Source organism: Homo sapiens, chromosome 14 (genome assembly GCF_000001405.40).
Source record: "Homo sapiens chromosome 14, GRCh38.p14 Primary Assembly".
In the NCBI taxonomy this organism is placed as follows: Eukaryota; Metazoa; Chordata; class Mammalia; order Primates; family Hominidae; genus Homo; species Homo sapiens.
The window spans coordinates 65042311-65067235 of record NC_000014.9 but is presented as its reverse complement, the minus strand read 5'-3'; the positions used below and the strand labels follow the sequence as shown (position 1 = coordinate 65067235).

The 24925-nt window shown below is 45.0% G+C and overlaps 3 protein-coding genes and 1 non-coding gene across 6 annotated transcripts in view; 1 reads left to right on the top strand and 3 right to left on the bottom strand.

Moving 5' to 3' along the window:
- Positions 1 to 24925, top strand: part of MAX (MYC associated factor X) — a 96595-nt gene that overhangs the window by 35460 nt on the left and 36210 nt on the right. The window lies entirely within an intron of this gene.
- The window catches only part of CHURC1-FNTB (CHURC1-FNTB readthrough), a 148295-nt gene continuing 127950 nt past the window's right edge, over positions 4581 to 24925 (bottom strand). Inside the window, exons 11-14 of one of the 2 annotated variants that reach the window (NM_001202559.1) lie at positions 22793 to 22925; positions 13887 to 13998; positions 12547 to 12661; positions 4581 to 6055 (exon numbers count right to left, since the gene is read on the bottom strand). In NM_001202559.1, coding sequence (NP_001189488.1) covers positions 5924 to 6055; positions 12547 to 12661; positions 13887 to 13998; positions 22793 to 22925 — 492 coding nt within the window. In that variant the 3' untranslated portion in view covers positions 4581 to 5923. The remainder of the gene's footprint in view (positions 6056 to 12546; positions 12662 to 13886; positions 13999 to 22792; positions 22926 to 24925) is intronic. The other variant, NM_001202558.2, reaches the window with a different exon arrangement.
- FNTB (farnesyltransferase, CAAX box, subunit beta) overlaps positions 4586 to 24925 on the bottom strand; it is a 75756-nt gene continuing 55416 nt past the window's right edge. Inside the window, exons 9-12 of the mRNA NM_002028.4 lie at positions 22793 to 22925; positions 13887 to 13998; positions 12547 to 12661; positions 4586 to 6055 (exon numbers count right to left, since the gene is read on the bottom strand). Of these exons, the coding sequence (NP_002019.1) occupies positions 5924 to 6055; positions 12547 to 12661; positions 13887 to 13998; positions 22793 to 22925 (492 nt within the window). The 3' untranslated portion in view covers positions 4586 to 5923. The remainder of the gene's footprint in view (positions 6056 to 12546; positions 12662 to 13886; positions 13999 to 22792; positions 22926 to 24925) is intronic.
- On the bottom strand, positions 22467 to 22548 carry MIR4706 (microRNA 4706). The gene has a single exon (NR_039855.1). It is a non-coding gene; the product is annotated as a microRNA 4706 (primary transcript).

Genomic DNA, 24925 nt, shown 5'->3' with positions numbered 1-24925 from the left:
CTCAAACTATTCCAAAATGTTTATTTTTTAAAATGCTTTTTTTTTTTTTTTAAGACAGGGTCTTGCTGTGTCATCCAGGCTGGAGTACAGTGGCATAATCATGGCTTACTGCAGCCTTTACTTCTCAGGCTCAAGTGACCCCCCATCTTAGCCTCCCAAGTAGCTGTGAGCACAGGTGTGTGCCACCGCATCCGACTAATTTTTTTTTTTTTTTTTAATTTTTGTAGAGACAGAGTGTGGCTATGTCGCTCAGGCTGGTCTCAAACTCCTGAGTTCAAGTGATCTTCCAGCCTTGGCCTCCCAAAGTGTTGGGATTACAGTCATGAGCCATCACACCCGAACTAAAAAATACATTGTTTTTTTTTTTTTTTTTGAGATGGAATTTCACTCTTGTTGCCAAGGCTGGAGTGCAAGGGTGCAATCTCAGCTCACCACAACCTCTGCCTCCTGGGTTCAAGCGATTCTCCTACCTAAGCCTCTAAGCCTCCCGAGTAGCTAGGATTACAGGTATGCACCACCATGCGCGGCTAATTTTGTATTTTTAGTAGAGACGGGGTTTCTCCATGTTGGTCAGGCTGGTCATGAACTCCCAACCTTAGGTGATCTGCCTGTCTTGGCCTCCCAAAGTGTTGGGATTACAGGCGTGAGCCACCACACCCGGCCATGCATTTTTCTTATTGTTATTTTGTAAGCGCTGTATTTCCTCAGGGGGAGCAGAGGGCAAGGGAAAGTTTCCATTAAGCTGGGCTAATGATGAGCGCCCTGTCCCTGCCCTGCCTGGTTTTGTTCTTGGATGTGCCAGAGAAGCGGGAGGGAGGAACGTGAGGCCACCTGGCCCCAGTTCCCCAGCTGGTGGAAAACAGAGGCAAGGAGGGTTACTGCAGGAAAGTGTGAGGATGTGCAGGAACCTGTTAGATGTGCCTGGGCCAGGTTGGAGAAAGCTGGCTGCTGTCAGGTCAGCTCCTGGGAAGACGGACTCATCACGGCCTCACTGAGCCACACGGCATCACACTGCACTGGTGTGGCCACACACTTGGTGGCAAGTGGAGACCTCATTAGAAGGGTGAGGGGCCTGCCCTATTTGCTGTCACCATCCCTGACCTAGTGACAGATGGCAGCTGGTATTCAGGGCCTCAGCCATCCAGCCTAGAGGTAAACCAAGCATGTTTCACCAGTGCCCCCTATTCCCCGAGACCTCTCACCTTCCTTCAGAGGCCTGCGGTGGTGGAAGGGCATGGGCTTTGGAGGCAGCAGATACGGGCTCGGGCTCAGGCACCACCACTTGACAGCTGGGAAACCTTGGGTGATTTACGTAAGCTCTCCAACCTGTTTCTCCAGTTGTAAAAGGCAGGTAATACGCCTGCTTCACCCACCTTACAAGGTGAGTCAAGGATCAAATGAGAGGCGGTAGAACAGGAGGGACTGTCTTAGGGGTTATTGTTTGGGCAGATGAGGCAAGAGTGGTCAGCACTTTTTAAGCAGCAGGTAAAGCCTTGGTCTTGGGGCTAATTGGTGGTAGAGTTTTGTATATAGTCACGCCACATCATGTTTTGGTTAACAACAGAATGCATGTACGACAGTGGTCCCGTGAGATCATAATACTGTATTTTTACTGTACCTTTTCCATGTTTAGATTCACAAATACTTACCACTGTGTTCCAGTTGCCTACAGTATCCAGTACGGTGACAAGCTGCACAGGTTTGTAGCCTAGGAGCAACAGGCTACCCCATCTAGCCTAGGTGTGCGGTAGGGTAGGCCATCTAGGTCTGTGTAAGTGCACTCCATGATGTTCACACAACGACGAGATCACCTGACTGCTTTTCTCAGGGTGTATCCTCGTCATTAAGTGACATGACTGTATTAGGTTGCTTTCAGTTGCAGGTAATAGTAAGTCCAACTCACATTGTCTCATATAACTGAAAATCCAGAGGCCACGTGGGCCTCGGGAGCCATGTGATCAGGGCCATGTTTCTCAGTCTCAGAGCATATGTGTGTGCTGGCTTCTCACGCTGGTTTCCTTCTAGGTAGAAAAATGGTTATAGGAGGCCCAGGCCACACATTCTACCATCCCCTAATAGGAAAGAGCTGCTTTTCCCCGTCATACAGTGTCCACGACGTCTCTCTCTTTAGACTATTTTAGGTCACATGCTTGTGCTCTGAATTGATCACTGGGGCAAGGACAAATCATGCTGACTGACTTAAGCCTGAGTTACTCCCAACCTGAACAAATTACTGGGGCAAAGAGAGATAAATGAAAATTATTGGCTTAGCCAGTCAGGGCCTGGGCCTGGAGGTAGGAGGGCATCAAGCCCTGGCAAACCTTTTGGCTGCCACAGGTGGGGAGGAGTGGCATGGATGCCAACAGTGTCCCTACAGGCTTCTATCCCAGTAATCACTGTTTGAGAGCAATGGCCATTTGCCTCTCTAGCATCCATTTACCCCTTTGGCAACAATCCTAATTTGCATTTGGAGCTTTGTTCCTTCCCCGTTCCCAAAAACTACGTGCTTCTAATGAAGCCTCATTTCCCTCTCAAGGGAGAGGCATGTGACCAAGACTTTGGCCAATTGGTGCACTGTATTCTCCAAGCCATTGGACTGCTTCTTGGAAAGGCACTTGGTTTGATTAAAGCCAGTGAAACACAATGATACTCGCTGGAAGGAAGGCTGGGGTGGAACCAAGTGTGCCTGTCTGCTGAACCTGACCCCAACAGGATGTAGGGTCTGGAGCTATTGGTGCTGCCATTTTACAACCCCATGGAGAGCCTGAGATTGAGGCTAATGTAGAAAGATGGAGGGAGGGTGAGGAACCTAATAGGACCAGCCTAATTCCTGGACTCTGCAGTTTGAGTCAACAGATTGCCTCTTTTGCTTCAAAAGCCAGTTTGGGTCAAGTTTTCTACCAGTTGCAATGGTGTCTTAAATCATATTATACTTTCCTTCCTATTCAAAGGCAGTAAATGCCACCAAGCAGTGCATGTGGGCAACTAGAATGCTTGGTCCAATCCTTACTATTTGTCACTTGACACTAATATTACATGAAAAGCATCCCAGTCATGAAAGGTATGGAAGAATGCTCAATAATACCAAGAAGGGAGAGCAGTGTGGAACTATTGTTTACTGGTATTATTATCTCAGGGGTGTTTCCCCTGATTATCCATGAGGTTCTCTTTATGCTCCGCTCCCTGTAGGGTCTGGCAGGCTTCCCAACTTATCTGGTGTTCAAGGTGGGCCTAAGGGTGAAACTGGAGCCCACCTGGATACAGAGATCTGTATTAGTTTTGTGTTTATTGATGGGAGAAAGTATTTGGGGTCATCCACCTTGAATGCTACATAAATGTCTTCTACTCAAGGAGTCACATAATAAATCTCTCCAAAGGTGCGGTGGCTCACACCCGTAATCTCAGCACTTTGGGAGGCTGAGGCAGGAAGATTGCTTGAGCCCAGGAGCTCGAGACCAGCTTGGGCAACGTGGTGAAACCCCATTTCTATAAAAAATACAAAAATTAGCTAGCTGTGGTGGTGTGCACCTGTGGTCCTAGCTACTTGGGAGGCTAAGGCAGGAAGATCTTCTGAGCCCAGGAGGTCGAGGCTGCAGTGAGCCATGATTGTGCCACTGCACTCCAGCCTGGGTGCATTTGAGCAAGATCCTATCTCAAATGAGTGAATAGACAAATCTCTAGGACTCACCTTGAGGGCTGTCAGGAAACCCTCTGGAAAAGGATGTCTCATGGATATGCCAGTGTAAACTCTCCTGAAATAACCCTTTCTCTTCTCTACCCAGACTAACTTTACCTACCCTTTGGGGCCCAACTCAGATCCCTCCTTCTTGGTAAAAAGCCAGTTCAGACTGAAGCAATCCCTTCTATTAACCACATTAATTATTACTGCAATTAATCTCACAATACCTTGAGGCTCCGAGTGCTGAGAGGATTTTGCCTTTTGTTATAGTGATGGAAAGGATGCATTTCAATATGTTGCCTTGCAGTGCAAACCTTTGTTAACAGGGCAAAAATAGCACAGGGGGCAGGAATTACATTCCTGGATGTGCATTTGGCTTATTTACATGGATTTGGGTGCCCTCTAAGGACACCATCTTCTCTCCCCTCCAAGAGGGTCAGGCCACAGGACATCCATGTTCTTGGCCTCCCATGGGAGAGGGTCTCTCGCCAGAGGAAGGGAAAGCCAAGTGGCCACAGAGTTCCAGCCTGTCCCTGTGACAGCCCCTGCCTCTGGCCAGACATCCACCCACCCTTGCTAAGTCAGCCTGCTCTGGGGCTACTAGGCCCAGTCCTTGCTGTCTGTCGGAGACAGACCATGAAGTGCAGTGTGTGGAGGGCTGGGACATAGCATACCGAATTACCCCAGGGAGCTTGGAAAACATCTCTTCCCACTCTCTGTTAGGCCCACGGCTTCCTCTACTGGAGGAGACGGCATGTGAGGATGGAACTCGGTCATTCCTCTGTCACCACCGATGTGAACAGTCTGGAATCCTGCACACAGGAGACTGACGATCCCTGAGCAACCTTTAGTAGCTCCTACCATTGGGCATTTTCTTGGTACAGATCACAAATAAGAGACATCATAGAAAATGTTATTCTTTTATTATTTCAAGGAGGTAATACATAGCCCAATATGGCAAAGCAAAAGGGAATTAGAGGCAGCAAATGGCCAGGTTTTTCTAAGCGCCTCATGCTGCATCTCTGAGCTCCTGTCTGCCCGCAGCCCACAGCTGCTTACATGAAGGCCAGGTCAGTAGACAGATGGCCCAACTTGATACTCCACTGACTGAGAAAGGGCTCAATGTGCAGCACAGCAGAGGCACTGCCAGGACCCAGCACGCTGGGCGGCACCCCACGCTGCCACCACCAGCTACAGAGGCTAGTGCCTTAGTAGCAGCCAGTGTGTCTAGCACTTGATTTTATTCCTGTGAGCCTAGAGTGGGCAGGACGTGAATAAATCCTGAGTCATAAGTTAAGGTGAAAGACTTAGTAGTGTTAATACTCTTGGTGAGAAAAGACAACACAGTCTTGGAGGAGAGTGGGCTTGGAGTCTGGTGGAAGAAAGATAGAAACCCCCAGAAGGGCCTCGGCCTGCAGGCACTGCCTTGAGGCCATCAGAGGGGGTTTTCACGGTACATGATAGGGAGGAGTGAGGCAGGTGGGCACTGGAGGGCTGTTTCCTCTGGCACAGTTGAACTAGAGGGTCACTTTCCACTCATAATTGGTTTCCTAGGTCTAAGTCACCACACCTGGGGCTGAAGCAAGTCTTGCCTGTGCACCAAGCGTGGCCTTGGACCCTGGAGAGATGCAAGGCTCAGTTCTCCAGTGTTGAAGTGGAAGGACTCCCAACTGAAGGAGATCTTTCTCTCCCCACCTCCAGCTCTTTTCCCTTACAAATGACCAGGGTGCAAGTCGAGAGGCAGAGGCACCTCCTGGTGCAACTCCACCACAGTCTTACAGAGAACTCATCTTGGTGGGACCCAAAGCCCAGCCTTGGCATGAAGCAGACTTATTCCACCCATCGGAGGGCACCCAGTCTGGTGACTGAATGGTGGCGTGCAAGTGGGAGTCAGCAGTGGCTCTGGATGCCGTAATACTCAGATGCCATTCATCTCTGTGTGATCGTCCTGGCTGGAGAGCTGGTGAGGAGGGACTGCTTCCTCCTGGCATGCACTGTTCACCAACCACACCACGTGGGCTGATAGATTTTTGGTTTGACAGGTGTGGAAAGAATTTTTAAAACCAGCCACTGTGTTCTCCAAACCCAGAGCCATTGGTTTTGTTTGACAAGAAAGTACCAAGAGAACCACAGCTCCACTGAGGCTAAGGCTTGTGTAGCACAGAATGCAGTATGTATTGAAACGTATAAACCTTGTCTGACTGGGGAGATGGGTGAGCAAAGAGCTGCCGGGACCCAGGTCCTCTAGTCGGTTGCAGGCTCTGCCGATGTCTCATCCTTAAGCTCCTCAAAACCTGGGACTGGCTTCTGTAGAAAGTATGTAGTGGCCTGGATCACCTTGTCTGGTCCAATGTTGTACACTGGGTGAGTGGGCTGCTGCAAAGAGAAGAAAAGGTGCCAGTTAATCACCCCGGTGGTCCTTGAAAACATAACACATCCTTTGCTCCATGAAAGGCACTTCTAAGAATTTAGTATAAGGAATCAGAGATACACACAAAGCCCAAAGGTTCAAAAATGGTGTATTTGCTAAAACTATCTAGTACATGGGACACAGGTTAATATACAGCCATTATAAACACGCATTTAAATATTTAACGATACAGGCAAATACTTACAACATATTATGTGAGAAAACAGTATGTACAATACTATCTCAAACTGTTTTTTTTTTTTTTTTTTTTTTTTTGAGAGAGTCTTGCTCTGTTGCCCAGGCTGGAGTGCATTGACACGATCTTAGCTCACTGCAACCTCTGCCTCCTGTGTTCAAGCAATTCTCCTGCCTCAGCCTCCTGAGTAGCTGGGATTACAGGTGTGAGCCACCACGCCTGGGTAATTTTTGTATTTTTTTTTTTTTTTTTTGAGACGGAGTCTCTCGCTCTGTCGCCCAGGCTGGAGTGCAGTGGCGGGATCTCGGCTCACTGCAAGCTCCGCCTCCCGGGTTCACGCCATTCTCCTGCCTCAGCCTCCCAAGTAGCTGGGACTACAGGCGCCCGCCACTACGCCCGGCTAATTTTTTGTATTTTTAGTAGAGACGGGGTTTCACCGTTTTAGCCGGGATGGTCTCGATCTCCTGACCTCGTGATCCGCCCGCCTCGGCCTCCCAAAGTGCTGGGATTATTTTTGTATTTTTAGTAGAGACAGGGTTTCACCATGTTGGTCCGGCTGGTCTCGAACTCCTGACCTCAGGTGATCCACCCGCCTCGGCCTCCCAAAGTGCTGGGGTTACAGGTGTGAGCCACCACACCTGGTCTCAAACTTTTTAAAAAGTGTATTTGTACCTGTGATGTATATAAATAGCAAAAATTGTACCCATACCAAAATATTAATAGTGATATGATTGTTTTTCATTTTCTTTTTTATATTTTATGTATCCCAATTATTAAAACAATAAACATGTATTTACATTTATAATCAAGAAAAAGGGGGCCGGACGCGGTGGCTCATGCCTGTAATCCCAGCATTTTGGGAGGCCGAGGTGGATGGATCACCCGAGGTCAGGAGTTCAAGACCAGCCTGGCCAAGATGGTGAAACCCCGTCTCTACAAAAATACAAAAATTAGCCGAGCATGATGGTGAGTGTCTGTAATCCCAGCTAGTTGGGAGGCTGAAGCAGGAGAATTGCTTGAACCCGGGAGGCGGAGGTTGCAGTGAGCCAAGATTGTGCCACTGCACTCTAACCTGGGCAACAGCGAGACTCTGTCTCAAAAAAAAAAAAAAAAGAAAAAAGGACCACAACCCTAATATGTAGTAAGGCTGTCAGATCATATTTAAATATATAAACAAAATTTAAATATGAAATTTAAATTAAATAGATGTTATTCTAGTACATCACAGAAACCCAAAAGAAACTTTAGATTTGACACGGCATAATCCTAGGCCAATATTCAGGATTCTCCCACTGTGGGATAATGAAGAAGGGGACACAACTGCAGGAGAGATTTTAAAAATTTTGAGAGAATACTAGGAGCAACCTCATGCTGAAACATACAAAAATTCAGATAAAACAATAATTTTTAAAAACCAGGAAAACTGCCAAAATTGACTTAAGGAATTTTTAAAGGCCTACATGAAGAAATTAGTAACAACAATTGCTTATTCTGCCACCCCCACATACCTTAAAAGATACTAGACCTAGATGGTTTCTCAGGCAAGTAGTATCAAACCTACAAAGAAACAGATAATCTCTGATCTATACAAACCTTTTAAGGACTGAAAAAAAAAAAGGGGCTAGTGCGGGGGCCAGGTACAATGGCTCACACCTATAATCCCAGCACTTTGGGTGGCTGAGGTAGGATAGCTTGAGGCCAAGAGTTCAAGACCAGACTAGGCAACATAGCAAAACCCTGTCTCTACAAAAAATTTAAAAATTAGCAGGTTCTGGTGGTGTGCACCTGTAGTCCCTGCTACTTGGGAGGCTAAGGCAGGAGGATAGCTTGAGCCCAGGAGTTCCAGGCTGCAGTGAGCTATGATCACAGCACTGTACTCCAGCATGAGTGACAGAGTGAGATCATGTCTCTGAAAAAGAAAAGAAAAAGAAAAAAGGTAAGAGGTGCAGGAAGCTACCCATTTAATTTTATGAGGCTATGATATTATCCTGAAACACTGGAAAAGGACAATACAATAAAATTTTAGATCAATCTTTCTTATGAATGTACATGCAAAAAAATCCTAAATAAAAGTACTAGGCAAACATACTGGCAAACTGAATCCAGCAGTATACTGAACAAAACACACAGACACAGACACACTGCCTCTACTATGACCAAGAAGGGCTTATCCTGGGAATATAAGGCTTAACATCAGAATATTAATGAAACATATCATATTAAAGAAGAAAAATCAGATGCGGAGAAAGCATTCAATAAAATTTAACACTACCTTATGACTGAAACTAACAAAAACAACCTAGCAAATCAGGAATAAAAGTGAATATCACTAACTTGATATAATGTAACTATCACAACCTTACAGTAAACATCATGCTTAATGATCAGGTTATAAAAAGCCTTCCCATTATAATCAGGAGCAAGAGACGAATGCCCTCTACTACCTTTAGTCAGCACTATGTGGGGATCTTACCCAACAATACAAGGCAAGAAAAATAAAATGGAAACTAACTTAGACAAACTTAAAACTATTAAAGAGTTCAACAAGGTGGCTGGACACAAGATTTATAAATATTATTAGCATTTCTATACACTAGTAACAAACAGTTACAAAACTGAAAATAAGAAAAGATTCCAGTCACAAGAGACATGAAAACTGTAAATTAGACATAACTCTAACCGAAAAAAAAAAAATGCTAGTCCTTTATGGAAAAAATTATAAAAAAAACACTGAAAGACATTAAAGAAAAGAAAAATTATGTTCATAAATGGAAGCCTAAATATTGAAAAGAAGTCAGTTCTCTTTGTACTCCTGGGAAGACAGGAAGAAAAAAAAAAAAGTTGGTTCTCTCCTATTAATCTAAAATGTAGTGCAATTCCAATAAAAATCCCATTAGAACTTGACAGGCTGATCCTACAATTCACAGGAAAAAGCAAAAGGCAAAGAATAGCCAAGGCAATTTTGAAGAAAAACAACAAGGCAGACAGGACTTGCCTACCTGTTTTCAGACTTGCTTAAAAGAGTGCAGATAGGCAAACAGACCAAAGGAACAAAATAAGAGAGTCCAGAAACAGGGCCCCTTCATGTATGGAAACTTGAGGGTGTGGTACACATGAGATACACATCAGCAGGAAAGGTTGTAGACTTCAGTAAATGGTGCTGGTCAATTGGTTATCCATATGGAAAAAAGATAACATTATATCCAAGCCTCACCATACACAGAAACCAAATCCAAGAGAATTAAAAATCTAGATTAAAAAAGCAAGCTTTAGACTATTTAGAAGAAGTTACACTTAATGACTTGCTGCATTGCCTTGTTCATTCCCTTCATAGCACGCATCACAATTTGTGATGTATTTGTTTAATGTGTGCCTCCTTTTGTCTGCTTCCCTCAAAAAATGGTAGAGATTCCTTAAGTTAATCCTCACCTACCCTCCCCCAAAAACAAACCCCTGAATGACAGAAAAGACAAATAGATTTGACCACTTCAAAATTAAAATATTAAAATATTTTTGTGGGGAAGGGGTGCTGGGGGCAGGGTCTCACTCTATCTCCCAGACTGGAGCAAACAGAGCTCACTGCAGCCTTGACTACCTGGGCTCAAGCGATTCTCCCACCTCAGCCTCCCAAAGTGCTAGGTTTACAGGTGCGAACCACCATATCTGGCCTAAAATCTTCTATTTAACAAAAAAACACCAAAAACAAAATGCTATGGTTTGGATGTGGTTTATTTGTCCCCACAAAAATTAATGTTGAAATCTGATCCCCAAGATGGCTATGTTGAGAGGTGGGGTTTGTGGAATGTGTTTGGGTTTGAGGGGTGGATCCCTCAGGAGTGCCTTGGTGCTGTTCTTGCAGTAGTGCGTGAGCTCTCACTCTTGCTCTGGGGAGTCTGGATTAGTCCTTGAGGGAATGGATTAGTTCCTGCAAGGGTAGGCTGTTATAAAGCCAGGATGCTCTCAGGCTCTCCTCTGTTTGCATGGGTTGGCTTCCCCTTTGATTTCCACATGTTATAATGCAGCACAACCCTTGCCAGAAGCCAGAGCCATGCCCTTGAATTTCTCAGTCTATAGAACCATGAGCTAAATAAACCTCTTGTCTTTATACATTACCTAGTCTCAGGTATTCTCTTATAGCAATGCAAATCAGAGTCACAAAATGAAAAGACAAGTCACAAGCTGGAAGATATTCACTACACACATGTAACTGATAGAAGATTAGTATTAAAAATATACAGAGAACTACAAATACTTAAGGGAAAACAACTGAAGTTACCCATCAGTAAGAAAATGAGCACAGAATATGAACTGGCAGACAATTCGCAGAAGACAACACAAATGGCCAACAAACATTTGAAAATATTCTCAACCTCACCAGTAATCAGGAAAACACAAAATCAAACAAATACCACTTCACACCCATCAAATTGGCAAAAAGGAAAAGGTCTGACTATGGATCGATTCATCTTACACAACCACACTGGGGAGCAGTTACAGAGGTATCTATCAAAGATGACAATATGTGTCCCCTTCAACCCAGCAGGTCCCCTCCTGGAGACATTCTAACATGTGAACCCAATGAGACAGATACCACAACGTTCACTGCAACACTGTAATAGCAAAAAATTGATAACTAGCAGGAGAACAGAGAAACACACTGGGGTACATTTATATAAGGGAGTATCATATAATAGTTAAAATGAATAAACTGGAGCAACACATGTGAACACAGATAAACCTCAAAAATACAATGGCAAGTGGAAAAAGCAATGCAGAATGACTGGTACAGTAGGTACCATTACAAAAAGTTTGAAAACATGCAAGCAACTGTTATATTGCTTATAAAAAACTATATATTGCTTATAGATACATATGTATGTAGCAATAGCACAAAAACATCCACAGGCATGATACATGTCAAATTTGGGACAGGGTTACCTCTGGAGAAGGAGGGAGGAAAAAAAACTGGAAGAGGGCTACATAAGAGGCAAATAGGGGGAAATAATTAGGGCCTGGAAAAGCTGGGTGGTGGTTTTTCTGATTAAGAATGAGGTTGAGCATCTTTTCAACTATCTATTGGCCATTTGTGTTTCTTCCATTTGAAATGTTTCCCAATTAAAAGAAACAAAGATGGGGCCAGGCGTGGTGGCTCACACATGTAATCCTGGCACCTTGGGAGGCTGAGGCAGGCATATCACTTGAGGCCAGGAGTTTGAGACCAGCCTGGCCAACATGGGGAAACCCTGTCTCTACTAAAAATACAAAAATTAGCTGGGTGTGGTGGTGCATGCCTGTAATCCCAGCTACTCAGGAGGCTGAGGCACGAGAATTGCTTGAACCTGGGAGGTGGAGGTTGCAGTGAGCCAATATCATGCCACTGTACTCCAGCCTGGGTGACAGAGTGAGACTTTGTCTCACAAAAAAAAATTAAAAATTAAAAAAAAAATTTTTTTAAACAAAAAAGGAAGGTTACAATGACACAGATGAGAAAATAAGGCAGTGACCTAGATGGTAGCAGCAGGCCATGTTTACACTGGTGGAAGTAGGGCTTAGTAAGAGTAGGGAACTGCACACAAAAATTCATGACAGTCTGCATGGGCCCTGTGATTTGATCACTGGGGACAGTCTCCATTGGATTCATGTCCAGGCTCACGTCTAGGCTCAGAGCACCTCCAGGTTGTCCTCAGCTGGCTGCAGCAGTGAGCATCCTGCCCTCATAGGGCTATTGTTTTTTCAGGAAAGCAGACAAACACACATTAAACAACACACCACCAACTGAGTAAAGTACTACAAAGAATATGAACAAGGCACTGAGGCAGAGCATTCTGGGGATCTCATTCTCTGAAGAGATGGCATCTAAGCTGAGCCTCTGGGAGAGACGCGGCAGGCTGTACAGCCAGTGCCGCATGGCTGCAGTGCTATCACGAGCCTGCTGGGACTCACAGCCTCAGAGTGACACGTAACTGTGGCCTCCTCTAGGGGAAGCTAATACCAGCAGTGGGCTAGGTCCTCAGCCCTGGGATAAAGGCACAACAGCTCTTTGACAGATCAGACCGCCCATCTGGAACCCTGAGCTTGCCCAGAGGTGCGTCTCCTCTGTGGTCACATCCTCACTAACGGCTGCACAGCTCGAAGGGCAGAGGGACCACAAGCTTCCGCCTGTCCACACAGGAAATGCAGAGCCAGTTCTGCTTACTTGGAAAGCCTTCTGTCCGCGAGGTCCCTGTGGAGAAGGGGTGTGAAGCCCTGCACCCGTCTTACCAGAGCGTTTTCGGGCACACCCAGGACCACATCATGCAACATGGCTCCGCTGCCGAAGTGCTGGGCTATGGACAGGCCGCTCAGGCAGTAGCAGGTGTGGTAGAAATCACGCGACCTGTAAGGACAGGCAGCTCTGAGCAGGCGCTCCTCTGCTCCGCACACATCTACAAATGTAGCCACACCAATTCAGAGACCACTGGTGCAATCACACGTCCCCCCCCATCCTCCATGTGGCTAGAGGAGGCATGGTTTTCCCAGCAGTGTTATTTAAAGCCCCACTGGCTGAGCACAGTGGCTCACACCCATAATCCCAGCAAGCAGGAGGCTGAGGCAAGAGAACGGTTTGAGGCCAGGAGTTCAAAACCAACTTGGGCAACATGGGAGACCCCGTCTCTACAAAAAATTAAAAATTAGCTAGGTGTGGTGGCCGATGCCTGTAATTCCAGTTACTTGGGAGGCTGAAGCAGGAGGATCACTCGAGCCCAAGAGGTGAAGGCTGCAGTGAGTCATGATTGTGACACTGCACTCCAGCCTGGGTGACAGAGTGAGACCCTGTCTCAAAAAAGTAAAATACAATAAAATAAAAGCCCCATCCTCCAGCCCTGCCCAGCAGTGGGAACTGTATTTTTTTTCTTTTCTTTCTTTTTTTACCTTAAACTATTAAAGGAAACTGTAATTTTAAAGTCAGTCTCTCCAGCTGTCTTCTGGAAAGGGCTCTCCAGGGGCAGTACTAATGATAAATTGATACACTTCTCTAGAAAAATACCTAAATATCTAGAAATGGGCCACATCCTTCCTGATACATTGTGGGACCAGGCCTTCCCCTGGATGCCAAGAGCAGCAGGACGTGTGCTGGGATGGGGGAAGACAGAGGGTGGGTAACAAAGGTGAGAGGACTTATTTTATTTCCCTTTTTCTAACACATAAGCCATCTCAGATTTGAGCTTAATCATTTAATCCACTCTATAATAGTTGTCATGATTACAGTCTCTGTTTACAACACTGAGGGGTTTTAAAATCCTGTATCCTATTCTATTTAGATCAGTTTTTTTTTGTTTTTTTTAAAAAAAAGAAGAGTTATCTACCCAGCAATCTGTTTCCCTGTCTGGGGGAGGGGGTTGCATGCAGGCTGGGGGACAAGACGGGCAGCTGGAGGTGCCAAGATCAATGGCCTCAAGGGGTGCTCCCAACTGGGTGCTTTTTCCCATACAACCTAGCGCTATGCAGGTGCTGAAGGTGACACCTCTGCTCTTGAGATCTGGCTCTGAGTAGGCCTGAGGTGCACGCCCCTCTGCTCTCTCCTCCCCTCTCCCTTCCCTCCCCAGAGAGAAAACACTCACTTGCCAGGTTTATCCAGAAGCCCCCCCGCAGGGCACTGGCAGCACATCAGGATGTACTCCTGCAGGGCCTGCTGATGGAACATCCAGTGGCTCATGCTAAGGGCAGGGTCACCTGTTGAAGGGCAAAGGGTCAGTAAGGGCCCGGCAGATCCAGCCAAGTATCAATGACCTAATTCCACTTTCTCACCTGGGGGAATAGTCAAGGTTTCCTGCTCCCCTTCCTCTTCCATTCATTCTTGGTACAACTGCTATCTTCCCCATGTCCTACGCACAGCATGTCCCTTCTCCTGAACTTTGACATGTGTCAAAGAGCAGCAATTCAAAGTGGCACTTTCACTTTCTTGAAATGCACCCTGTTAACGTGGATGGTGATCCTCAACCACATCTCTGGCAGGCAGTGAACCAGCCTAGCTGTTTAGCTTACCTTCCCAGACTGACCTCGGTAGCTGCTCCCAACTTGGTCCATAACTCTACCCTGGACTTCAAGAGACATTCCCTCTAGCATATCTCTATAACTTGTTAACCAGACTGATTAGCTCAGAGAACTCTTAATGGGTAATAAAGTCTGTTTCTTCTACTTTTCTAAGCCTAAATTTAATTGATCTCCAAAGGGAATTCTCTAACTTGTCTCTCAGCTCAAAGAATTTACCTAAGAAACATTACTAGTAACTGCCCTCCTGCATCATATGATACCCTAGCAAAAACTGGGTATTCTGGTAATACTACTAAGGTACTGACAAGCAACTGGACTTCTTCACTCTGAAGTCCAATCACTATGGTCAAAGAATTCTGTGGGCCACACAGTTATCAAGTGGGAAGGAGGGACAAATCACGGACAGGTGTGCAGAAACATCTGCATAGAAATCGATTAAAAATATATATACATATAGGATGTACACTAAGTCCTTGGTCAATTTTATATTTTGATACCTGGGCTAAAAGATGCCTGACAATAAATCATTTTTAAAAAAAAGATGCCCAACAATTGGTAAATGGCACCTGAAAGCTAATTGTTCTTTCTTCCAGTCTTTTTGGTTCTATGCGTTTTTCTACCTAGTTATTATAACTGTGTAGCTTATGTTTTTCACTTATACCACTATAGGCATAAATTTTCTATTCTATTACATAATCTGCATAGCCATCACTGTGAATAGCCATATAGTATTTCATTAAGTGGACATATAAGGTAACTGTATCATAAAAAGAACTGAGCTAAAAATCTTATATATATGTCAGTATATAAATTCCTATGGTGGGCCAGGCACGATGGCTTATGCCTGTAATCCCAGCACTTTGGGAGGCTGAGGGGGGTTGATCACGAGGTCAGGAGATCGAGACCATCCCGGCTAACACGGTGAAACCCTGTCTCTACTAAAAATACAAAAAAATTAGCCGGACATGGTGGTGGGCGCCTGTAGTCCCAGCTACTCAGGAGGCTGAGGCAGGAGAATGGCGTGAACCCAGGAGGCGGAGTTTGCAGTGAGCTGAGATCACACCACTGCACTCCAGCCTGGGCGACACAGCGAGACTCCATCTCAAAAAAAAAAAAAAATTCCTATGGTGAAAATTATAAAAGTTTATGGTATCAATAACCTTTCCCATTTTGGAGAAAATAGCAAAAAAGAAAAACGGGGGAAAAGATTTCTAAAAATAAAAATGAAAAGTTTATGATACAGTCTATAAAGAGATTGAAGCAAAATATTAAACTGTTGAATATTTCCTTTTTTTTTTTCTTTTTTGAGACAGAGTCTCACTCTGTTGCCCAGGTTGGAGGGCAATGGCACGATCTCGGCTCACTGCAACCTCCGCCTCCCGGGTTCAAGCGATTGTCCTGCCTCAGCCTCCCGAGTAGCTGGGATTACAGGCATGCACCACCATGCCTGGCTAATTCTTGTATTTTTAGTAGAGACATGGTTTCACTATGTTGGTCAGGCTGCTCTCTAACTCCTGACCTCAGGTGACCCACCCTCTTTTGGCCTCCCAAAGTACTGGGATTACAGGCATGGGCCACCGCACCCAGCCTAAATTGTTGAATATTTCAAACAGACAATAAGAATTTATTAAATTTCTTTAAAAAGAGACACAGAGGAAAAGGGTTTCCAAGGTTGAGCACTAGGTGAGGGACAGTGGCCAGGTGACATTTAGAGGCCAGGGACAAAAGCTTCTCGTCTTCAACCCTGAGTCGCACTCAGCCCTGAAACACCCATTAAGAGACACAGGAAACTAAGTCCGACCTAAGGAGAAGCATCCAATCTCCCATCTCAGGCTGGCTGCAGGCCACATGCTTTGATACACTTGCACTATTTTAATTCCCTTCCTTTCTTTTCCTCACCTGTAAGCACAGTGAACTTTGTTGTAGAAGATACATACATATATGATGGGACTTCACTCTATCTTCTTTTACTTATTTCCAAGGTTGTTTCCAGTTCCTTGCCATTATGAGGAATGCTGGACTAAATCTTTGTCAATATTATGTATGCTTAAGATTATTTTCTTCAAATAGACTGACCACGGTGGAATTATTCGGTTAAAGGGAATAAACATTGTTAAGGCTTTTAATAGATACTGATAAACTGCTTTAAGAATTTATAGACTACTCTCAGCACAATCCCTGTGGAGTAGCCCTGCTCTGCAGGAGCTGTCAAAAATAAATATATAAATAAACTAAAAATAAAAACAAAGACTTTATATAGCTACCAGCAAAATTTAAAATTTTGCTATACCACCTCCAGCATTAGCACCTTTTTGTTGTTGTTGTTGAGATGCTATCTTGCTCTGTCGCCCAGGCTGGAGTGCAGTGGTGTGATCTCAGCTCACTGCAACCTCTGCCTCCCAGGTTCAAGTCATTCTCCTGTCTCAGCCTCCTGAGTACCTTGGATTACAGGTACAAGCCCCCACGCCTGGCTAATTTTTGCATTTTTAGTAGAGACAGGGTTTCACTATGTTGATCAAGCCAGTCTCGAACTCCTAAAATGATCTGCCCAACTCGGCTTCCCAAAGTGCTAGGATTACAGGCGTGAGCCACCACGCCCGGCCAGCTTTAGTTACTTTTTAAAAGTTATCAGCAATTAAAATGGTAAAAAGAAATAGTACCTGATAGTTTATTTTGATTTGCATGCCTCTGATTACTAATTAGGGTGAAATTTTTCCATAACTTGTGTTTAATATTTGCATTTCCTTATGATGGTGTCTGTTTGGCCTAATCTTCTGAGATCCAATAGCCAATTTTATTAATCTAGCTTTTTCTTATACTTGCCCCTTGTCTACATCATATGCTGCATCTATTTTCTCCTTTTTGCTCCTCTGTTTTGGTTATGTGAGTTTAAAACTTTTTAAAATTTTTAAAATTTAATTAATGTAAAACATATATATGTTTTATACTTAATATTGTAATCATACTATTGATTTTTCCTTCACGATTTCCTTTTTAAGAAAATATTTAATGTGTATGGGGATTTTTGGGGGGATGAGTGATGAAAATGTTCTAAAATTGTCATGATGGTTCGCAACTGAATAGGTAAGTTGTGTGGTATGGGAATTATATCTCAACAAAGCTATTATTTAAAAAAGCATATTTATTAAACTTTAGGAAACTGCATTACACATCTGTACAAAATGTACATATATTTCATATCCTATAACAAATAAAAGACTATTATTATAAGGTAAATGATAACCTGTGGCTAAAATTAGAGTCTGAAAAGAAAACGCTATGTTTATTATATAAAAAACTATAGACTGTTTCAGTGACTTCCTATATTATTAAAGCATAGAAGCTCAAAGTTCAAAAGCTCTACAAGGAGCTTCCAGATATCCTGAATTTGGACACCAGCACACATAATCACAACAAGATGAAAGCAGATACGATTATAGGGTGATAACTGCACACTGGAATCCACCTTTTAAATCCTTTCTACCTCTTCCTGAAATTATAGGTCGCCATTCTAATCTCATTTTGCATTTCAAAGGTTCCTTTTATCTAAAAAAATCAAAAGTCTTTCCACACCATAACTGATAGGTGCAGCCATCTGTAGCTCAATTTCACAGGTAGGCAAGAAAATTCCAGGGTATGTCCAAAAGAACATATAAGAAACCAGTAACTACCAAGCCAAGTGGAAACTCACAGGCCTGCTGCTTTCTTATTGCTCCACAAAACAAAAAAACAAAGTAACTCACTGATTTAGTCAGCACTTGAGATTTCTTAAGCCTTTTTTTTTTTTTTTTAGACGGAGTCCTGCCCTGTTACCCAGGCTGGAGTGCAACGGCGCGATCTCAGCTCACTGCAACCTCCGCCTCCGGGGTTCAAGGGATTCTCCTGCCTCAGCCTCCTGAGTAGCTGGGATTACAGGCAACGTGGCACCATGCCTGGCTAATTTTTTGTATCTTTAGTAGAGATGGGGTTTCACCATGTTGGCCAGGCTGGTCTTGAACTCCTGAGCTCATGATCCACCCACCTCGGCCTCCCAAAATGCTGGGATTACAGGCTTTTGTGTTTTTTTGAGACAAAGTCTTGCTCTGTCGCTCAGGCTGGAGTTGCAGTGGCACTCTCTGCCTGCAACCTCTGCCTCCCAGACTCAAGTGATCCTTCTACCTCAGCCTCCTGAGTAGCTAGGACTACAGGCATGTGCCACCATGTCTGGTTAACTGTTTTTAATTTTTTGTAGAGACAAGCTCTCACTATATTGCCCAGGCTGGTCTTGAACTCCTGAGCTCAAGAGGTCCTCCTGCTTTGGCCTCCCAAAGTGCTGGGATTATGGTCATGAACCACCATGTCCAGCATTTTAAGGTACTAATAGTAATTCCTTCTTCTACTCAAATACTGTCATTTACACATAGAAGGTAGTCAATGGCATGGAGCCACTGATGGTCACTTGCTGGGTCAGGGCATGGCCTAGACCCACGTGCTGCACTATGTAGAGCATTCTTTTTGCTTTTTAGTTAGCAATATGATCAATGCCTTTTAAAAAATGTATTTGTACATTTACCAAAATAAAATTAGTAATGCACATGGTTTTTTTTTTTTTAAAGGCACAGTATAATACAGAAGGATAGAAAATCTAAAAAGTTGGCCAGGTATGGTGGCTCACGCCTGTAATCTCAGCACTTTGTGTGGCCAAGGAAGGTGGATCACTTGAGGCCAGGAGTTTGAGACCAGCCAGGCCAACATAGTCATATCCTGTCTCTACTAAAAATAGAAAACATTGGCTGGGTGTGGTGGTACACGCCTGTAATCCCAGCTACACAGGAGGCTGAGGCAAGAAAATCAATTGAACCGAGGAGGCTACAGTGAGCCGAGATTGCACCACTGCACTCCAGCCTCAGCAACAGAGTGAGACTCTGTCTCAAAAAAAAAAAAAAAAAAAAAAAAAAATCTAAAAAGTCTCCCTCCTTCTGTCTTCTGTCTGCTTCTCTTCTCCCAAAGGTACCCATTGTTCAAGGGGTTTTGTGTAGGGTTCCAGGAAAAGCTGTGTACATCTCGGGCTGTGTGCCCAGGCACTGCTCCAGGCCCCGCCCCCTTACACTTCATGTTGTATCTTGCAGAGCTTTCTATATCAGCCCATGGTATGCAGCTACTGTTTGGAGAGATTTTTATTATTTAACCCTTAACCTTTTGATAGGCACTTAGGCTGCTATTGAAACTCCACTTCAATATACATCCTTTGCTAATATCCCTGCAGGTAAATTCCTGACAGTGCACTTGCTGTGTTCAAAGGGTAAGTGCCCTTATAATTTAAATGGATGTCTCCAAACTGCCCTCCAAAAAATGACTTAACCTATTTACATCCCCACTATCAAATTACCTGTTTTCTCACACTCTCCCCAACATAGGGTATCAAGTTTTTTAATCTCTGCCAATCCAATAATAAAAACAAATAGTGCCACTCTTTTGATTAGCATTTCTTTTACTACAAGTGAGCTAAACAATTTTTCGTTGGATTAATGGCCACCTACTGTGGTTATGAGCAGGGCAGGGTTCAGATGCCAGCTAGTCTGGATTCACACAACCACATACTAACCCTTGTGAGTGCCAATCAGGTATTATAAAGCAATCACTTAACCTCACTGTAGTTTGTTTCCTCATCTGTAAACAATGGTACCTATTTCATAGGGTTGTTTTGAGAATTAAATGAGAAAACATATGTGAAATGCTCAGTACAGCCCCTGGCATACAGTGAGGGCTTGGGAAGACTCCGCTACCAGTAGTAGTGGCAGTTGTAGTAGAAAAAGTAAGAAGGACAGTTCTTTCACTGGGACCTCTTTCTTCAGATCCTTTGCCTGTTTTTCAGTTGGGTTGTCCATCCATTTCTTACTGGTTTGTATGATTTTTTTTCAAATTAAAGAAATTAGCCATTCATCACTTGTTATAAATATTTTTCGCACCTTTTTGCTTGTTTTGTTTGTAGAATTTCCCTGTTTCTGTAAAATAACTTTTGTTGTCTTTTTTTATGCAAGAAATACCTATTAACTATAGAAAGATTAGAAAATACAAACAGAAGCAAACATCACCTGTAACTTCACATCCTAGATACTTTCTATGAATTTTTTGTAGTCAACTCTTCACTAAAAATGGGATTCCACACATATTGCTTTGATATGATCACAATATATTGTGACTATCTTTCTACACTGCATCCCCTTTTGACTCCCAAAGTCAGTATTTTGCCCTCCTTTCAACACACTTCCCTTCTTTACAGACTCCTGTCTGTTCCAAGTTCAAGAGATGCCCTGTGTCTGAGAAGACAACACAGGCCTTCTCCCAGCCAATGAAAAAAGCTGGAAGCACCAAGATTCATAGGCACCCTTTTCCATAGACAAAGCTTTGAATGCCACTAAGCCCCCTAGAACATGTGCTACAAGAAACAATTAACCAGCAGCCCCCCTGGAAGACTTTGACAGGTGGTGCTCCTGTTATAGCTCATTCCACATTTCCCTGGGATTGCAGAATTACTGAGTCTTATCCATGCCAGGGACAGGTTTGTAAAAGACTGACCATTTTACCAGGGGCTTGACCTCACCAGTTCCAAATAAAGAGATCACCATGACCCCAAGTTTTTTTCTATCTTAGAAATGTTGGGCCAGGCACGGTGGCTCACGCCTGTAATCCCAGCACTTTGGGAGGCCAAGGCGGACAGATCACCTGAGGTCAGGAGTTCGAGACCAGCCTGACCAACATGGAGAAACCCTGTCTCTACTAAAAATACAAAATTGGCTGGGCGTGGTGGTGCATGCCTATAATCCCAGCTATTTAGGAGGCTAAGGCAGGAGAATTACTTGAACCCAGGGGGCAGAGGTTGCAGTGATCCATTGCACTCCGGCCTGGGCAACAAGAGTGAAACTCCGTCTCAAAAAAAAATAATACTAAAATAAAAAATGTTTGACTTGGGGAATTCCTGACTTCCCTACTGGTGGTCAAGGCAGAGACTGTGCAGGCTCCAAAGTCAGTGCACTTGCTGACAGTGCACTTGCTGTGTTCCAAGGGTAAGTGCCTTATATGCCTTAATACTGACACCTAAAGCCCAGTGGGCCCAGGCCGGGAAAATGGGACAGAGGCTCTGCTTACTTTAATTCAGTGTCAGAAATGGTCACAACTCAACAACTCAAAGGAAATTAAGAAACTAAATAATGAGGCTCAGGGCCGGGTGCGGTGGCTCACGCCTATAATCCCAGCACTTTGGGAGGCCGAAGTGGGCGGATCACCTGAGGTAAGGAGTTCAAGAACAGCCTGTCCAACATGGTGAAACCCTGTCTCTACTAAAAATACAAAAATTAGCCAGGTGTGGTGGCACGCGCCTGTAGTCCCAGCTACTCAGGAGGCTGAGGCAGGAGAATTGCTTGAACCTGGGAGGTGGAGGCTGCAGTGAGCCAAGATCGTGCCACTGCACTCCAGCCTGGGAGACAGAGCACGACTCCATCTCGGGGGCGGCGGGGAGGGGGGAAGACGGGGGGTGGGGGGCTCAGAAACAGGAAAAAAAAGTATGGGGAGGGGCAGAAAAGAATCTCATCTTTTACATTTGAGCAGTTACATTATCCAACTAAGTCCGAAGAACAGCTTCTCTTTGGACCCAGGGATCTCATTCCAAAAACAGATCAGCAACCAGCAGGGCCCCATGACTTCCTCTCTCCCACAGGTCTACTCAGAGACACCTGCTCTCACATCAAGTACACCAGAAAGATGGTGCAGGAGTTAGCAGGCAGACTGAGGTTTCAAGAGATAGAGAGAGAATGTTCCCAGACTTTTTGCTCACTAACTACTTCGGTTTTGCGTTCCCATTTGAGACCCCACAGAAACGAACGTGGATTTCTCTACTCCAATGGTGCAGGTGGAACAAACTCCCATTTAGGCTTATTCAATGAATGTAAAATAAAACATTTCTAATAGTGACAACTCTGCAGCCAGTCAGACACGGCGAGTCTCTTCTCCATGGTGTAGGGGCAACCCACCCCTACAACCCACCCCTACACATGGGTTCTGGTTCTCTACCCCTTTACGCAGTTGCCTTTCCTGTTGCTGTTGCAACAGTGACTGTTGCAACACTGAGGGTTTTCAGCTCTGCCCTGCACCCAGAGGAGGTGGCAATCACCACAGAGCCCAGGACAGGAGTGGGCTGCTCCTTCCAGATAACGCAGAAGCAGCGCCCACTTCCTCCCCGCTCCCCGTAGCAATTTCAAGGAAGCTCATTCTGTCGCAGCCAATTTGAAGAAGCAAAGAATGACACTAAACCAATGAAACTAAATCTTACTCTGCATTCGCATGCCCCACGGCATGAGGTTCCACACTGGGCACTCAAAATCCAGGATAGACAGAGCTCATTTCAACCCCTCTAAAAAAGCACGCTGGGCTTCCAGACTTTGTGAGTAGTGGAGGGAAATCATCCAGCCCCAAGTGAACAGCTCCCCAGGCTCACCTTGGGCGTGCAGTGCGCGGTGGAGCAGGGGCAGGAGCCCCGCCTGCCAGAAGGAGTAGCAGCCATCCACCAGCTTGTTGCAGCGGCCCTGAAATCCTCCTTCAAATCGCATCTGCCGGCTTGTCACCCATTGCTGAGGAGACACAGATGGGAAAGGCAGTTGTAGGCTAAAAGAGACAAAATCCAGCCCGACAGAATCTCCAGGAGTCAATCTGTGGGATGGAGGGTTTCCCATCTTGTGGCTTCTTGGCACTCTAGTTTTGGTGCTCTGGTTTTCTTTCCTTCCCTCCCCACACTGCCATAGACACAGAGTGAAGCATTTAAGCCAACGCTGTAGAGGCATCCAGCACTGATCTCTGCTCAATGCCTGGCAGACAACTACCTTTTCCTGGGTTCCAAAGCAGTGCCAGTGCTGAGAAGATAAAGAGGCCAAGCTGGTTTGTAAGGAGACCTTCAAAGTCTCTTAATAAACATGGCTTAAGTTGGAAATTGAAGGCAAGACTACCAGTAGCTCATTTCTCATTACTTCCCTGCTCCGGGGAGTTTATTAAAAGCAGATAAATGGAATTTGGTACTACATTTCTTTTTTTTTTTTTTTTTTTTTTTTTTTTTTTTGAGACGGAGTCTCGCTCTGTCGCCCAGGCCGGACTGCGGACTGCAGTGGCGCAATCTCGGCTCACTGCAAGCTCCGCTTCCCGGGTTCACGCCATTCTCCTGCCTCAGCCTCCCGAGTAGCTGGGACCACAGGCGCCCGCCACCGCGCCCGGCTAATTTTTTGTATTTTTAGTAGAGACGGGGTTTCACCTTGTTAGCCAGGATGGTCTCGATCTCCTGACCTCATGATCCACCCGCCTCGGCCTCCCAAAGTGCTGGGATTACAGGCGTGAGCCACCGTGCCCGGCCTGGTACTACATTTCATCAGATGATCTCAAACTGCTCCTGACTTTTACTTGGCACCTGGGGAAATTTACCCAAGGTCTCTTAGCAAGTCACTAGCAGGCCTGAAAGCAGAAGCCATTCATTCTAATTACCAAATGACAACTCTGCCCAGTCTGTGGCTGATATAAGAAAATCTTTTACTTTGAAGCTGTAAAATAGGTCTTGGTCTTGATGTCACTCAGCGGTCACACACGATACCACCATTCCTTGCTTATCTACAAGTTTTCTAAACACACTCTACTACAAAGATCAAGATAGTCATGGGTTTGGTCCCTCAGAATGAGCAGAACCAACTGGCTGAGCAGATATGACATTTCCATTTCCCTCCCTAGACCACCTAGGCCGTTCCAGCCACGGACTTACAGAGCTGCCTCACTCAACTGAAAGGGTACAGGGGAGGGTACTTCCTGTTTCTAGAGTCTTACTAGGTAAAGGTCCTGAAAGGAGCCACTGGGACCCTTGATGGAAGTGGGGGCCAGCCCTCCCCTAAAAGCTGTTGTTTAGATTATTCCCTCTTCAAGGCAACACCTGCCCATAGAGAGTCACAGTCACAAATGCTTAAAAGAGACAGAAAACACTGTACTGCAGGTTCAGGTACTAATATATCCTCGGTTGATCTTAAATGAACCAGGGCTTCCAGCATGTAATGGAAGTGGGCTAAGCATTACTCAGGCAGAGAGAAAGCAGGCGCTGCAGTGGGAGTCGGTTCCTCATTTCTACTTACCGCAGGGCTTAAGTGTTTTTAAGCAGACTAATTTACTTTTTCCAGTGCCTAAGCCCATGGATTTGTTCTGTTTCCTTGGGCTATAGGAATTCATACTTCAGATATGGGTCCTACTTCTCCCAAAGCAAATGGAAGGGAGTAGTCTGGATTAGAGCAGGGGTCCCTAACCCCCAGACCATGCCAGGCTGCACAGCAGGACATGAGTGGTGGGTGAGCCAGTGAAGCTTAATCTGTATTTACAGCTGCTCCTCACTGCTCCCATTACTGCCTGAGCTCCACTTCCTGACAGATCAGCAGCAGCATTAGATTCTCATAGGAGCGCAAACCCTACTGTGAACCGTGTATGCCAGGCTTCTAGGTTGCACGCTCTACATGAGAGTCTAATGCCTGATGATCTGTCACTGTCTCCCATCACCCCCAAATGGGACTGTCTAGTTGAAAGAAAACAAGCTCAGGGCTCTCACTGATTC